This window comes from Homo sapiens, chromosome 11 (assembly GCF_000001405.40).
Source record: "Homo sapiens chromosome 11, GRCh38.p14 Primary Assembly".
NCBI classification, from domain to species: Eukaryota; Metazoa; Chordata; class Mammalia; order Primates; family Hominidae; genus Homo; species Homo sapiens.
The window spans coordinates 47,286,171-47,302,066 of NC_000011.10; the positions used below are offsets into that span (position 1 = coordinate 47,286,171).

Genomic DNA, 15,896 nt, shown 5'->3' on the forward strand with positions numbered 1-15,896 from the left:
TAGCAGTGGATGAGAGACTTGGATATTATCATGTGAGGTGGACAGAGAAAGCTGTTACTGGGTTTTGGCTGATCCTGGCAGTGGCTCCATTGTTTGCCTGGAGTTAGACTTGATCCTTTCTAAGACAGATCAGAGATGATCTGATCCACCAAACTGGGATTGTGTTTGAAAAGGAGGGAGGTGCAGATGCTGATAGTCATTAGTCTACTGCTTTGATTACTTACTCTGCCAAGTCATCGCTCTTGCACCCTCCCCTTGATAGGCAGCCTCTATCGGAACCACAGTACCAGCTTCAGTCTTTCAAACCTCACACTGCCCACCAAAGGTGCCCGAGAGAAGGCCACGCCCTTCCCCAGTCTGAAAGGTAACTACAGCCTTCCTTTTGCCAAGCCAGGTTTCTCCGGGAGATGTTTCGGGCTGTGGGTTCATGTCAGGAGCCCTGCATCTGCTGAATCCTTTGACCTGGTTGTCGTCCCTCATGTTGCTCCTCATGGCTTTCACCGCACATCCTGGGCTCTGATGGTTGTCAGATGGAAACCATCTTTGTAGCTAGAGACGGCCCTGTTATGTCATTTAGGACAATGGCAACTGTGGGATTACTGCTGCTTCGCGGGAGGACCCTGTCAGGGTATATGATTAACATAGGGATCATCAGCTGCCCCCAGTCGTCTGCTGGGTTGCCACTGCATGAACTTAGGGCAAATTCCGTGCCAAGGAGCTGGCCCACCAGAGAATGGTTATGGAGAGCCTGGCAGCGTTCATAGAGCACAGCCTCTCACCTCTCACGCACTCATAAGCCTGTCAACCCAGGGCTTAATGAGTGCGCCAGGTAGTATTGGTTAGTTTCTAGGGGCAGTTAAAACCTTATGTGAAAGCCAGGCGCGGTGGCTCACGCCTGTAATCCCAGCACTTTGGGAGGCCGAGGCGGGTGGATCACGAGGTCAGGAGTTCGAGACCAGACTGACCAACATGGCGAAACGCCGTCTCTGCTAAAAATACAAAAGTTAGCCATCTGGTGTCACGCACCTGTAATCCCAGCTACTTGGGAGGCTGAGGCAGGAGAATCGCTTGAATCCAGGAGGCGGAGGTTGCAGTGAGCCGAGGTCGCGCCACTGCACTCCAGCCTGGGTGACAGAGCAAGACTCCGTCTTAAAAAAACAAAAAACAAAAAACGAAACCTTATTTGAATTGGTTTGTGCTATCTGACAGTTTCAGGGGCTTTTCTGAATTTGATTTTTTATTTTTTTTATTTTCTGAGACAGTGTCACTCCGTCACCCAGGCTGGATGGAGTGCAAGGTGGTGATCTTGGCTCACTGTAACTGCCGCCATCCAGGCTCAAGTGATTCACATGCTTCAGCCTCCCGTGTAGTTGGAATTATAGGCACATACCACCTCGCCTGGCTAATTGTTGTATTTTTAGTAGAGACGGGGTTTCACCATGTTGGCCAGGCTGGTCTTGAACTCCTGACCTTGAGTGATCTGCCCACCTTGGCCTCCCAAAGTGCCAGGATTACAGGTGTGAGCCACTGCACCTGGCCTGATTTTTTTGTTTTCTCTGGATGGTATGACGAAATATTTAACTGTGGTAGGAAGTGCAGTGAGAAACATGTATTTTTTTTTTTTTTTTTTTTTTTTTGAGACAAGAGTCTCGCTCTGTTGCCCAGGCTGGAGTGCAGTGGTGCAATCTTGCCTCACTGCAAGCTCCGCCTCCCGGGTTCACACCATTCTGCCTCAGCCTCCTGAGCAGCCGGGACTATAGGAGCCTGCCACCACGCCTGCCTAATTTTTTGTATTTTTAGTAGAGACAAGGTTTCACCGTGTTAGCCAGGATGGTCTCGATCTCCTGACCTTGTGATCTACCCGCCTTGGCCTCCCAAAGGGTTGGGATTACAGGCGTGAGCCACCGCACCTGGCCAACCTCATGTATTCTTTAACTGACCTCTCATTCCTAGTGGTAAAAAATGTCAGGTTACTTGGGTGCAGTAGCTCACACCTGTCATCCTAGCTACTTGTTAGGCAGAGGCAGGAGGTTCATTTGAGCCCAGGAGTTTGAGGTACAGTGAGCTATAATTAGGCCAGTGCACTCCAGCCTGGACGACAGAGTGAAACCCTGTCTCTAAAAGAAGCCAACAGAAACAAACAAAGTTGTCAGGAGTCTAAGACATGTTCTTAGGTGAGGATGGGAACATTGGATAAATGGGCAAAAGGACATCAGAGCTGGCAGTGAAAGGAGCGAACTAGCACTGCCAGGGAATCCACATGTGGCCGGGTAGGCTAAGGATGGAAGGGTGTCAGTGTCACTGGCCTTCATTTGGTACATTTGAAGAGAAGAGCGATTGAAACTCTTTCATTGCATGCTGATGCTTTGTCGCATTTGCTGCACTTACCCTCTCACCCATCTCCCATCCTCATACCCTGACCCCACTCCCCACAACAGCATCTGCAAGATGGGTTGCTTCCCTGCACATACCCTCAGGCCCCTGGCCCTCTGTGCTGGATGTTTTCTGAAAACCAGCGGTCCCTGTTTCATGCATGTGTGTGTTCAGTACCTGAAGGCTCCCTGTGTCATTTACCCGCCCCTGGCTTGAGAGGCCAGTTTTAAGGGTGGTCTTTTCTTAGAGCCTTGGTTGTCTCCTGGTCACTTGGCTTCCAGCTCTGAGGTGCCCAAGAACCAAGGTTATGTGCATTCCTCAAGCTTTGGGAGAATGCTCAGATTATCTGGCTTACTGCTCCTCGGAGGGGTAGAGGGGTTGCGGTATTGTGGTACACCTACTAATTGTGTATTTTGTGTCCCAGTATTTGGGCTAAATACTCTAATGGAGATTGTTACTGAAGCCGGCCCCGGGAGTGGTGAAGGTGGGTCTTGCCTGTGAGCTGTGCATGATCTTTTTTTTTTCTCTAGCATCTTCTGTGCCTGCCCGAGGGCCATCCTTCTCATGGAGCAAGCAGCGTCACATGAGTGACCTGCTTGCCCCGTCCCCCGTGACGCCCATGCTTGCCCATGGGGCTTGCTGCTGGTGCATGTGGAGTGGCCTGAGTCTCCATCCCCACCTCCTCCACATTGCCATGGCTGGTTTCTACCTACGTATGATGCCTTGGTGCTACCCTCACCCAGCCCTTCTGAGGAACGGGCATGGAACATGGCTACTTAGGGCTGTGCTGGCATGAGCTCCTGTACTACAATAGTGATGTCTCTCATTCCTGCCTTCCCTGCCACAGGAAACAGGAGGGCGTTAGTGGATCAGAAGTCATCTGTCATTAAACACAGCCCAACAGTGAAAAGAGAACCTCCATCACCCCAGGGTCGATCCAGCAATTCTAGGTAATAAATGGTAGAGCTGTTTTAAAAGTTCTCAGGCAGAGGTGGGGTGGTTCCTCTACAGAACTTTAGGGATGCTCAAGAGTGGGAGAGAAGCTCTCAATGGGGTAGATGTAATCAATTTCTTGCCAGCACTTCTCATTCTGGCTTGATCTCCATGCAACTGAAAGCTTACAGTGTTGAGGGGGGTTAATCAGCAGCGGTGGGTATTTGGACAAATCGCGTGCTCCAGAGAGGTGGGGATGTGGTGCACTTGGACATTCAGAGACATGGCTTTGTGTTTTACCCCTGGAGGCAGACATCTAGTCTGGGTGAAAGGTGGGGGGTGCTCTGCAAAGGAGCTGATGACCACAGAAGCGGTGTGTGGACCCTGTAGTGAGAACCAGCAGTTCCTGAAGGAGGTGGTGCACAGCGTGCTGGACGGCCAGGGAGTTGGCTGGCTCAACATGAAAAAGGTGCGCCGGCTGCTGGAGAGCGAGCAGCTGCGAGTCTTTGTCCTGAGCAAGCTGAACCGCATGGTGCAGTCAGAGGACGATGCCCGGCAGGACATCATCCCGGATGTGGTCAGTGTTGGGGGTAGGGAATCGGAGTAACTGGAGAGAGGGATGTGAACACCACAGGCAATTTGCCAACGCTAGCCCCTGGGTTATTGTTGCAGGAGATCAGTCGGAAGGTGTACAAGGGAATGTTAGACCTCCTCAAGTGTACAGTCCTCAGCTTGGAGCAGTCCTATGCCCACGCGGGTCTGGGTGGCATGGCCAGCATCTTTGGGCTTTTGGAGATTGCCCAGACCCACTACTATAGTAAAGGTAGGGATCGTACTTGCTGGGCACCACGCCATCCCTAACTCTGCCACTTGTCTCCTGAAGAGAAAATATATGTGTACCCAGGACACGTTTCCCAGTGCCACGCTGCTTCCCATTAGGCTTTGGGATTTTATTTTCTAATGCATGTTTATACGCAGTGGGTATTCTTTGTTACGAAAAATAAGACATCAGCTCATCTTTCCTTGAACTTCTTCCATTCCGCACCCTCCTGTATCCTGGCTCCTCCCACCTCATATCTGCGCCTTGATTCCTACTCACTACTTCTCTTGACCTCTTGATATTTTTCCCTCAGAACCAGACAAGCGGAAGAGAAGTCCAACAGAAAGTGTAAATACCCCAGTTGGCAAGGATCCTGGCCTAGCTGGGCGGGGGGACCCAAAGGCTATGGCACAACTGAGAGTTCCACAACTGGGACCTCGGGCACCAAGTGCCACAGGAAAGGGTCCTAAGGAACTGGACACCAGAAGTTTAAAGGAAGAAAATTTTATAGCATCTATTGGTACGTATCAGTGTGTTTGGTGTGGTGGAGGGGTCCTGGCTTCTTAAATATCCCTTTCTCCTCAATTCATCCAGAATCCTGCCTTTCTCTGCCCCATGCTTTGCTTCTTAGAGAGGGAAGGGGGCCTGTGTCCATTTCTGGTGGTGTTTCTTTGTACTTCTCTAGTCTTTATGCTTCATCCACAGCCACCCCCCACCCCGTATCTTAGATGAAGAATGGTAAGTTTTGTTTAGAGGGCCCAATGAGGCTTACTGCAGGGGGTGTGAGCTGTACTCCTGGCCCCTCCTTTTATTTACGTCTGCATTTCTTCACATAGTGGAGAGAATTCCTGGAAGTGCTCAGGAAGTTTATAGATGCATTTTTGGGCTATAAAATTATGACATTTGTGTCTCTGAAGCCAGTGTCCTCCCATCCAACCATTATACTCCTCTGGAATGTGCTCCTCTGGGGCATGCCTGGCAACCCCATTTCCCTGGGTTCTGGATCTTTGAGGTATAGGTTTCCAAGTCAGTTCTTTAAATGCTTCTTCACTGGACTTGATTATAATCTCGTTTACATTTGGTGTTTCTCCGTTCCCACAAAGGCAGTGCCTTAGTGAGCTTTCTAGGCATCACCTCTGTTTGGCTCACTCCCTGCTTGACCTTGAGTCATCGAGGTTGGATCTTTCTTTTTCTGGTTCTAGGTCCCTAGGCACTCTGCTTCCAGCTGACATCTCATTGCCATGGCCATTAGCAGTTGCCATATGCTCCCATAAATGGTGACATGGAACCAGATTCCTTTTTAGGGGAGCTACACTTCCCTAGCCAGCAGAATATTATTCTAGTAGCAGTCAACTCCTGGCTTTCTCCTGCCTCATGTGATGTTGTAGAAAATGTACTGACCTGCTAGTCTGGAGATCTGGAGTTTTAGTCCCATATCAGCCTCCAACTAGGAATGCAACTTTGGGCAAATAACTTCACCTCTCAGGGTATCTGTCTCTTCATCTGGGAAATGAGGAAATCATACTAAGTACACTCTGAAGTTCCTTCCAGGAAAAGAATTGCTGTGGTTGCCATTCTGTCTGCTTTTCCCTATGAAGATGCTGGTCTTGACCATTTTATGTTCTCTGTCACCTCAACTGGAGGCATTTTTCCAGATCACTGGTGGGTAGGGCAGGTAGGGGTGAGTTGGTTTCTTGAGGAGCAATGAGGAGGGATGCTAACTGCCTGCATGAATTGGCCTTTGTTCAGTCCAGTGAATCAAGCAAAGATTGGTGTTCTTCCTTCTGAAACTCTGGCTGCTTGAGGTGTTCATCTGTCTCATCTGGAATCTGAAAAATTGCCCTTCCCCAGCTCATTTGGTAGAGAGAGTGTGTGGCATGGTGGGAGTTTAAATGGATCCTAAGTTACATGATCTTGATCAAGTGCTCCAGCCTCTTTAGGACCAGTTCCTCATGCAAAAATGAAGGAGCTTTGTTAAGGGCACTTCCAGCTCTAACATTCTGCAGGGTTTTTACTGCCACATTGGGATTGGAATTAGAAATTTGGAATCTGTTCATGAGTTTGGGTGGAGGGGTTAGATCTCTTGTTTTCTGCCCCTTCTCCCCATGAAGATATCTTTGTATCTCTTGGTTGGTAATCCAGTGCCTGAGACTGAATCGACTTGGGTGGGTGGGTTTCCATTTCGTCTGTCTGACCAGCCTCTGACTTTCTGTCTTTCTCTCCTGCTTGCATTGCATCTGGGGTAGAATTGTGGAACAAGCACCAGGAAGTGAAAAAGCAAAAAGCTTTGGAAAAACAGAGTAAGGAACAAATGCCCTTTCCTGTTCCCAAGTCCTCCATACCTGCCAACTCCCCAGGCCCAGTTGGGGCAGGCTCCCTTTGTCAGCCCCACCCCAAATTTGCTCTTAGAGCGTGTTTGGAATGGCAGCAGGTAGGTAGCATGTGACTCCTAGGTGTGTGTAGGCCGCTTCTTTCCCCCTCCCCTCGTGTCAATCAGGCTATAACCAGGTGTCTACTGAATACAACTCCCCAGAACTTGGTTCTCTGTTGCTTCAGAGTTGGTGGGGAGAATGTTTGCCTATTTTAGTGCCCCCCATTGGCTGATATCTCCCACACCTGTTAGAAGGCCTGTGGGCACAGTTGGCAGAGATGGTTGCTGTCCCTCCATGTTGAGTCTGTAGCTGCCCCACTCTCTGGTGGCTTGCCTAGGCACGCTTTCTTGCTTTCTGTCATTCTGTCTTTCTGCCATACCATTGTGGGTGGGTGGGGGACAAGGGGGGTGGTTTTCATCTCAAACATAGAAGTTGTAGGATGGAGGTAGGCAGTGCCCACCAAAACAGCTGGTGTTTCTTATCTCATCGGGCCCAACCTTTTCTACCTCCTTTAGACACATTTGTTTGGGAAGCATTAAGGGACCTGGGGACCATTAAATGGTTTCAGGTACCAGTGAAGCTCAGACTCTTGAGTGCCATGGAATGTGGTTTAGACATTTGTTCGTGGAGCTTTTCTTTTTTTTTTTTTTTGAGATGGAGTCTTGCTCTGCTGCTCAGGCTGGAGTGCAGTGGTACGATCTTGCCTCACTGCAACCTCTGCCTCCAGGGCTCAAGCAATTGTCGTGCCTCAACCTCCCGAGTAGCTGAGATTACAGGTGTGCATCACCACGCCCGGCTAATTTTTGTATTTTTTGGTAGAGACAGGGTTTCATCATGTTGGCCAGGCTGGTCTCAAACTCCTGACTTCAGGTGATCTACCTGCCTCAGCCTCCCAAAGTGCTGGGATTACAGTCGTGAGCCACCATGCCCAGCCTTGTGGAGCTTCTCTGTTTTAAGATGATTTGCTCAGAATTTTCTCAGGTTGAGAAGATGGCTGGAGAACCCATTGAGACCAGGTCTGATTTGTCCTACTTGGTTCTTAAGGCATCTGGGGTCCTCTTTTTCCAGTGGGTCCTGAGTGGGGGGTAGTCCTTGGAAAGGTGACTAGGATGGGCTGAACGGGTCTGGGAACAGCCTGTGCTGCCGTCCCACCCCCTTTACCAGCCTGCCCCTAGCCTTTGTGCACGGAGTAACAGAAGTCTTCCCCTACTCAGGGCCTGAAGTAATCAAACCTGTCTTTGACCTTGGTGAGACAGAGGAGAAAAAGTCCCAGATCAGCGCAGACAGTGGTGTGAGCCTGACGTCTAGTTCCCAGGTTTGTGACAACCTTGTTGAAATTTGCAAGTATTAAATATGCTGTCTCAGAATACTTCTTTAAGTTAAAATAGAACAGTCAGACAGCCGGGCACAGTGGCTCATGCTTGTAATCCCAGCACTTTGGGAGGCCGAGGCGGGTGGGTCACCTGAGGTCGGGAGTTCGAGACCAGCCTGACCAACATGGTGAAACCCCGCCCCTATGAAAAATACAAAATTAGCCAGGCATGGTGGCGCATGCCTGTAATCCCAGCTACTCGGGAGGCTGAGGCAGGAGAAATGCTTTAACCGGTGGGCGGAGGTTGTGGTGAGCCGAGATTGTGCTGTTGCACTCCAGCCTGGGCAACAAAGGTGAAACTCCATCTCAAAAAAAAAAAAAAATAAAAATAAAAATAAAATAGCCAGGTGCGGTGGTTCATGCCTGTAATCACAGGACTTTGGGAGGCCGAGGCAGGTGGGTCACTTGAGGTCAGGAGTTGGAGTTGGAGACCAGCCTGGCCAACGTAGTGAAACCCCGTCTCTACTAAAAATACAAAAGTTAGCTGGGTGTGGTGGCGGGCACCTGTAATCCCAGCTACTTAGGAGGCTGAGGCAGGAGAATCACTGGAACCCGGGAGGCAGAGGTTGCAGCGAGCTGAGATTGCGCCACTGCACTCCAGCCTGTGCCGCAGAGTGAGACTCCGTCTCAAAAAAAAAAAAAAAAAAAAAAAATGAACAACCTCAAAACAATATAAATAACTAATGATAAGGGAATTATTAAATAAGTATAATAGATCCATGTAATGCAATATTAGTATCCATTAAAGATTGTGTTTTCAAAAATTTAGTGACATGGGAAACTGTTTAACAAAGCTACCTATAGTGTGACTCCAATTTTATTTTTAAAATGTATTGAGAAAAAACTGAAAGGAAATATACTAAAAACAGTGGTTAACGTGGGAGGTAGATTTACAGCTTGTTCTTATTTCCTTATTCTTTCATGTATTTTCTACAGTGAGCATGTACTTCTTTAACGCATTGTTTTTTGTTTTTTTGTTTTTTTTTTTGAGACAGGGTCTCATTCTGTCGCTGCAGCTGGAGAGCAGTGGTGTGCTCTCTGCTCACTGCAGCCTCAAACTCCTGGGCTCAAGTGATGCTCCCACCTCAGCGTCCTGAGCATCTGGGACCGCAGGCACCCACCACCATGCCTGGCTAAGTTTGTGTATTTTTTGTAGAGATGGGGTTTCGCCATGTTGCCCAGCCTGGTCTCCAACTCCTGGGCTGAAATGATCCTCCCACCTCAGCCTCCCAAAGTGCTAGGACTACAGGCGTGAGCCACTGTGCCCGGCCTATTTCTTTTTTTTATTACATAAGTTGTACATATTTTATATTCTGGAAACAAAAGTTGCTCGTGACTTCTCTAAGGATGATAACAGAAGGGTGGGGATGAGGAGAAAGAAAAAGGTACAGTATTTCTGTGGGAAACTGAGAGGAGATTGGACACCTCCCCTAATGTTCCTGTGTCTTGTTTCAGAGGACTGATCAAGACTCTGTCATCGGCGTGAGTCCAGCTGTTATGATCCGCAGCTCAAGTCAGGATTCTGAAGTTAGCACCGTGGTAGGGGAACACCACACTGGCATCTTGGTGGGTGGGGTGTGGATTTCCCCTTTGGAAAAGGGTGCTACTTTCTCTTTGGAGGCTGCTCTGAGTCTCAGGTCAGCATGGTTCTCATGGTGGAGATGTTTACCATCATAGGTGTGTGTATACGAGATTTCACCCAGAGCTTCTCATCTTATAAAGAAGGTACTTCCAGAGGCTATCTGACACACTTTTGAAATTTAATACTTTTTTATGGTGGCAGGGAGCTCTAACAGCTTGGTATTTCTGGGGCCCATCCCTGGGGACTGTCTCTTACTACCTTTTTTCCTTTCCAGGTGAGTAATAGCTCTGGAGAGACCCTTGGAGCTGACAGTGACTTGAGCAGCAATGCAGGTGATGGACCAGGTGGCGAGGGCAGTGTTCACCTGGCAAGCTCTCGGGGCACTTTGTCTGATAGTGAAATTGAGACCAACTCTGCCACAAGCACCATCTTTGTAAGCTTTGTTTATTAACAAAAGAAAACCATTTCTTTAATGGGGGAGGGAAGCAGGCAAGAAAAGAATGAAAGTTAAGAGACGCTAAAGAGGTAAAGGTTAAATAAGGAAGAGGTAATCTTCTTATATTTGGCTTTAAGGAAAACATTTCTTAAGGCTTTGTTCAGAGTCATTTGACTCACAATCTGGGGCTTTTAGAACCCTCTCCTGAATCATTGATGAGTTAGGCTCCGTGCCCAGTCACGTAAGGGCTTTGAATCCTATGTAGTATTAACCCCCAGGTTTAACACAGGCAAAGTAATACCTTTGTGGCAATGTCAGGACAATTACAGCTCTCGTTTAGTACCAGTCTGCCTATTTCTATGGACTATCCAGTTTTATTTTGGTCACTGCTCTATTTATAAATAAAATAGCATTTTATTTTAGTATATTCCTAACAGTTATTTGAAGTTTTCATTCATTAATAAACATCCATGAAGTGATTTACTAAGTGCCAGATTTTGTGCTAAAGAAACAGGGATGAAAAAGGCATGGTTTCTACTCAAGAAGTTTGTGATTCACTATATTGCTGTGAGTAGTCTCTTCTAATAGGTGAGGGGAACAATGCCTTAGGAAAAAAGAACTTCCCTAGATCACACAGTAAGCCCATGATCAGCTGGAAGGAGATGAATTCTTTTTAGTCCTTGCCGTAGACATCTGTTTTTTGTTGTTTTTTTTTTTTTTTTTTTTTACACAGGGTCTCACTCTGTTGCCCAGGCTGGAGTGTAGTGGCACAGTCACTGCTCAACTGCTCACTGCAGCTTTGACCTGTTAGGCTCAAGTGATCCTCCCACCTCAGCCTCCCAAGTAGCTGGGACTGCAGGCATACACCACCATGCCTGGCTAATTTTTTAGTTTTTTGTAGAGATGGGGTTTCCCTCTGTTGTCTAGGCCAGTCTCAAACTCCTGGGTTAAGTGAGCCTCCTGCCTTGGCCTCTTAAAGTGGCATGAGCCACTGTGCCCAGCCTCTGCTTTTTAATGTGTATGTGCCTCTATAGGCTGTGTTAAAACACTGATAGACTTGTTACTTTATTAAACAGAGATGAGAATGGATGTTCTCTACAAGAGCTTATACGCATAGGTCCTTATCTTTAAGGCCTATGGGGAGAAAGGAAGATAAAAGTTAAATGAAACCAACTATTTAAAACTGGTTATCATTCCCACCCCCAGAGCCTTCTGTATGTGTGTTTTTAATAGAGTCAGTGACCTCCCAGAGTGGAGATTGGGAATAGGACTGAGAGGCTACTCAAGTTAATGGGCCTTAACTCTCTCTCAGTCTGAACAGACTGATTGGCTGATTGAGTGATTGATTTTTCTTTTGTGCTGACAGTTTATTAGGGGTTTTCTTTTCTTTTCTTTTTTTTTTTTTTGAGATGGAGTCTCGCTGTGTCACCCAGGCTGGAGTGCAGTGGTGCGATCTCGGCTCACGGCAAGCTCCGCCTCCTGGGTTCACACTCTTCTCTTGCCTCAGCCTCCCAAGTAGCTGGGACTACGGGTGCCCGCCACCACGCCCAGCTAATTTTTTGTATTTTTAGTGGAGATGGGGTTTCACCATGTTAGCCAGGACGGTCTTGATCTCCTGACTTCGTGATCTGCTCGCCTTGGCCTACCAAAGTGCTGGGATTACAGGCGTGAGCCACTGCTCCCGGCCAAGGGTTTTCAATAATGTTTTCTTTTCTTTTCTTTCTTTCTTTCTTTTTTTTTTTTTTTTTGAGATAGAATCTTGCTCTGTCGCCCAGGCTGGAGTGCAGTGGCGCGATCTCTGCTCACTGCAATCTCCACCTCCCAGGTTCACACCATTCTCCTTCCTCAGCCTCCCGAGTAGCTGGGACTACAGGCGCCCACCACCATGCCCGGCTAATTTTTTGTATTTTTAGGAGAGATGGGGTTTCACCGTGTTAGCCAGGATGGTATCAATCTCCTGACCTTGTGATCTGCCCACCTCGGCCTCCCAAAATGCTGGGATTACAGGCATGAGCCACCGCGCCCGGCCTTCTTTACATATTAGTTCAACCTTCACCACAAAATCTAACCATGGATCGTAAAAATTAAATTGGCAACGGGGCTAGCCTGCTATACTTCCTGTTTACTTTTAGATGCTTTTCAAACCAATAAGGATGACATTTGTGGTGGAAGGAGCCAGAGTAATAGGAAAATTACTTCTCTTCGCTTAGAAGAAAATCCTCCACCTTGAGCATCTTCTGAACTTTTTACTATAAGACATCTCAGTGCTTGCTTGTACTCTTCAGCCGCATAACTGTGAAGATAGCAACCATCAGTTTCTCATAAATGGAAGCGGCAGTGAGAACCGTCTACAGCAGTTTGGCTTCAAGGCCTGTGTAGAGGCCCATTATTCCAAAACACCTGTTAGCCATTTGTATGTCTTCTTTTGAGAGAGATCTATTCAGCTCATTTGCCCATTTTTAAATAGATTATTTGTGTTTTTTTGCTGTTGAGTTTTTTCTTTCTTGTATATTCTGGCTATTAATCCCTTGTCAGATGAATAGTTTGTAAATATTTTCTCCCATTCTGCAGACTGTCTCTTCACTCATTTCATCGTGTCCTTTGTTGTGTAGAAGCTTTTTAGTTTAATATAATCCTGTTTTTGCTTTTGCTTTTGTTGCCTGTACTTTTGAGGTCTCCATAAACTTTTTGCCCAGACCAATGTCCTGAAGCATTTCTGCTACGTTTTCTTCTAGTAGTTTTATAGTTTTGGGTCTTACAGTTAAGTCTTTAATCCATTTTGGGTTGATTTTTGTATATGGTGAGAGCTAAGGGGTCTAGTTTTATTTTTCTGAATAATGGATATCAAGTTTTCCGAGCAGCATTTATTGAAGAGACTGTCCCTATCCCCAGTGAATATTCTTGGTTCCTTTGTCAAAAAACAGTTGGCTATAAATATATGGATTTCTTTCTGGGTTCTCTATTCTGTTCCATTGGTCTATGGGTCTGTTTTTTATGCCAGTAGCATGCAGTTATGGTTACTATAGCTTTGTCTTATATTTTGAAGTCTAGTAGTGTGATTCCTTTTTGTCCAGGATTGTTTTGGCTATCTGGGGTCTTTTGTGGTTCCATATGAATTTTAGGATTTTTTTTCTATTTCTGTGAAGAATACCGTTGGTATTTTGGTAGGGATTGCATTGAATCTGTAGATCACTTTTGGTAGTATGGTCATTTTCACAATATTCGTCCAATCCATGAACATGGTATATCTTTCCATTTTTTCCCTATACTCTTTCTTACATCAGTGTTTTTTATTTTTCCTCATGGAGATCTTTTACCTCCTTCATAAAAGATAAATTTCTCCTAAGAATTTATTCTTAGGGCATTAATTTGTGGCTATCGTAAATGAGATTGCCTTCTTGATTTCTTTTTCTGCTATTTTATTGTTGGTATATAGACACACTACTGATTTTTATGTTGATTTTGTATCCTGCAAGTTTATTGAATTCACTTATTAGTTCTGAGTTTTCTAGTGGAGATTTTAGGGCTTTTTTTTTTTTTTTTTTTTTTTTTTTAGATGGAACCAGGCTCAAGCAGTCCTTCCATCTCAGTCTCCCGAGTAGCTGGGACTGTAGGCATGCACCACCGTGCCCAGCTGATTTTTGTATTCTTTGTAGAGACAAGGTGTTGCCATGTTGCCCAGGCTGGTCTAGAACTCCTGGGCTCAAGCAGTCCACCCGCCTTGGCCACCCAAAGTGCTAGGATTAACAGGTGTGAAGCACAACACCCAGCCTAATTTTAGGGACAGTTTGACTTCCTTCTGTCCAAGTTGGATGCCCTTTATTTCTTTCTCTGGCCAATTGCTTTGATTAGCATTTCCAGTTGAATAAAAGTGGTGGAAGTAGACATCCTTGTCTTGCTACAGATTGTAGAGGAAAAACTTTCATCTTTCCCCATTCAGTATGATGTTGGTTGTGGGTTTGTCATATATGACTTTTATTGTTTTGAGGTATGTTCGCTCTGTACCTAACTTGTTGAGAGCTTTTATCATGAAGGAATGTTGACTTTTATCAAATACTTTTGTATTTGGTATTCGTTCTTCTTTAAATGTTTTTAGAATTCTGCATTGAAGCTATTGGGTCCTGAGGCTTTCTTTTCTTTTTTCTTTCTTTTTTTTTTTTTTTTTTAAGACGGAGTCTTGCTCTGTTGCCCAGGCTGGAGTGCAGTTGTGCGATCTCGGCTCACTGCTACCCCCGCCTCCCGGGTTCAAGCAGTTCTCCTGCCTCAGTCTCCCAAGTAGCTGGGATTACAGGCGCCCACGACCACGCCTGGCTAATTTTTGTATTTTCAGTAGAGACAGGGTTTCACCATGTTGGCCAGGGTGGTCTCGAACTCCTGACCTCAAGTGATCTACCCCCCGCCCGCCCCAAAGTGCTGGGATTACAGGCGTGAGCCACTGCGCCCAGCTTTTTTTCTTTGAGACAGAGTCTCGCTCTGTTGCTCAGGCTGGAGTGCAATGGTGTGATGTTGGCTCACTGCAACCTCTGCCTCCCAGGTTCAAGCAATTCTCATACCTCAGCCTCTTGAGTAGCTGGGATTACAGGTATTCACCACCATGCCTGGCTAATTTTTGTATTTTTAGTAGAGACAGAGTTTCACCACGTTGGCCAGGCTAGTCTTGAACTCCAGGCCTCAAGTGATCTGCCCGCCTCAGCCTCCCAAAGTGCTGGGATTATAGGCGTGAACCACCGTGCCCTGTGATGGGAAGCTTTTTATTACAGATTCAATCTCATTACTTGAAATTGGACTATTCAGGTTTCTGTTTCTTGGTTAAATCTTGGTAGGTTGTCTATGTCTAAATTTATCCGTTTCTAATTTGTTGGCATATAGTTATAGTCTCCAGTGATTTTTTGTTTTTCTGTGATGTCAATTGTAATGTTTACTTTTTTGTTTTTGGTGTTTTCTTGGTGGAGGTCTTTTCACTCTCTCTCTTTTTTTTTTTTTGGTTAGTCTAGCTCTAATGGTTTGTGGATTTTGTTTATCTTTACAAAGATGAACTTTTCATTTTGTTGATTATTAATTTATTTATTTTGAGATGGAGTTTTGCTCTTGTTGCCCAGGCTGGAGTGCAGTGGTGCAATCTTGGCTCACTGCAGTCTCCACCTCCCAGGTTCAAGTGATTCTTCTGCCTCAGCTTCCCAAGTAGCTGAGATTACAGGTGCCCACCACCACAACCGGCTAAATTTTTTTTTGTATTTTTAGTAGAGATGGGGTTTTGCCATGTTGGCCAGGCTGGTCTCAAACTCCTGGCCTAAGGTGATCCACCCATCTCAGCCTCCCAAAATGCTGGGATTATAGGCATGAGCCACCACGCCCGGCCTATTTTTTTAAGTCTCAAGTTTTATTTCTGCTCTGATCTTGATTATTTCTTCTAATTTTGGGTTTGGTTTGTTCTTGCTTTCACAATTCTTTGAGCTGCATCATTAAGTTGATTTGAAATCTTCCTACTTTTTTGATGTGACGTTTATTGCTATAAGCTTCTTTCTTAATACTGCTTTTGGTGTATCCCATAGGTTTTGGTATGCTGTGTTTTTATGTTCATTTGTGTGAAGAAATTTTTAAATTTCCTTCTTAATTTCTTTGTTGACCCATTGGTCACTCAGGAGCATATTGTTTAATTTCCATTTATTTGTATGATTTTAAAAGTTTCTTGTTATTTATTTCTAATTTTCAGAGCACAGTGTTCCTTTGTGGTCTGAAAAGATACTTGCTGTGATTTCAGTTTTCTTAAATTTCTCATTATACTTATTTTGTGGCCTCATATGTGGTCTGTCCTAGAGAATGTTCTGGGTGTTGATGAAAAGAATGTGTATTCTACACCTGTTGGATGGAATGTTCTGTAAATGTCTGTTAGGTCCATTTGGTCTAAAATGCAATCTAAATGTAAAATGTAGTATAAATCCGGTATTTCTGTGTTGATTTTCTGTCTAGATGATCTGTCCAATGCTGAGAGTGGGGTATTGAAGTCC

The 15,896-nt window shown here is 45.8% G+C and overlaps 1 protein-coding gene across 105 annotated transcripts in view; it reads left to right on the forward strand.

Moving 5' to 3' along the window:
- Positions 1-15,896, forward strand: part of MADD (MAP kinase activating death domain) — a 60,844-nt gene that overhangs the window by 16,983 nt on the left and 27,965 nt on the right. For 16 of the 105 annotated variants that reach the window (NR_164835.1, NR_164836.1, NM_001376630.1 and 13 more), the window contains 10 exons: positions 263-364; positions 2,798-2,857; positions 3,221-3,323; positions 3,697-3,883; positions 3,979-4,129; positions 4,440-4,646; positions 6,373-6,426; positions 7,713-7,813; positions 9,326-9,397; positions 9,727-9,885. Coding sequence is in view for 97 of the 105 variants with exons in the window: in NM_001376630.1 (NP_001363559.1) it covers positions 263-364; positions 2,798-2,857; positions 3,221-3,323; positions 3,697-3,883; positions 3,979-4,129; positions 4,440-4,646; positions 6,373-6,426; positions 7,713-7,813; positions 9,326-9,397; positions 9,727-9,885 (1,196 nt within the window). In the remaining 8 variants the exon portion in view is untranslated. Of the gene's footprint in view, positions 1-262; positions 365-2,797; positions 2,858-3,220; positions 3,324-3,618; positions 3,884-3,978; positions 4,130-4,439; positions 4,647-6,372; positions 6,427-7,319; positions 7,814-8,865; positions 9,410-9,726; positions 9,886-15,896 lie in introns of all 105 variants that reach the window. The other 89 variants (NR_164839.1, NM_001376651.1, NM_130470.3 and 86 more) reach the window with 22 other exon arrangements.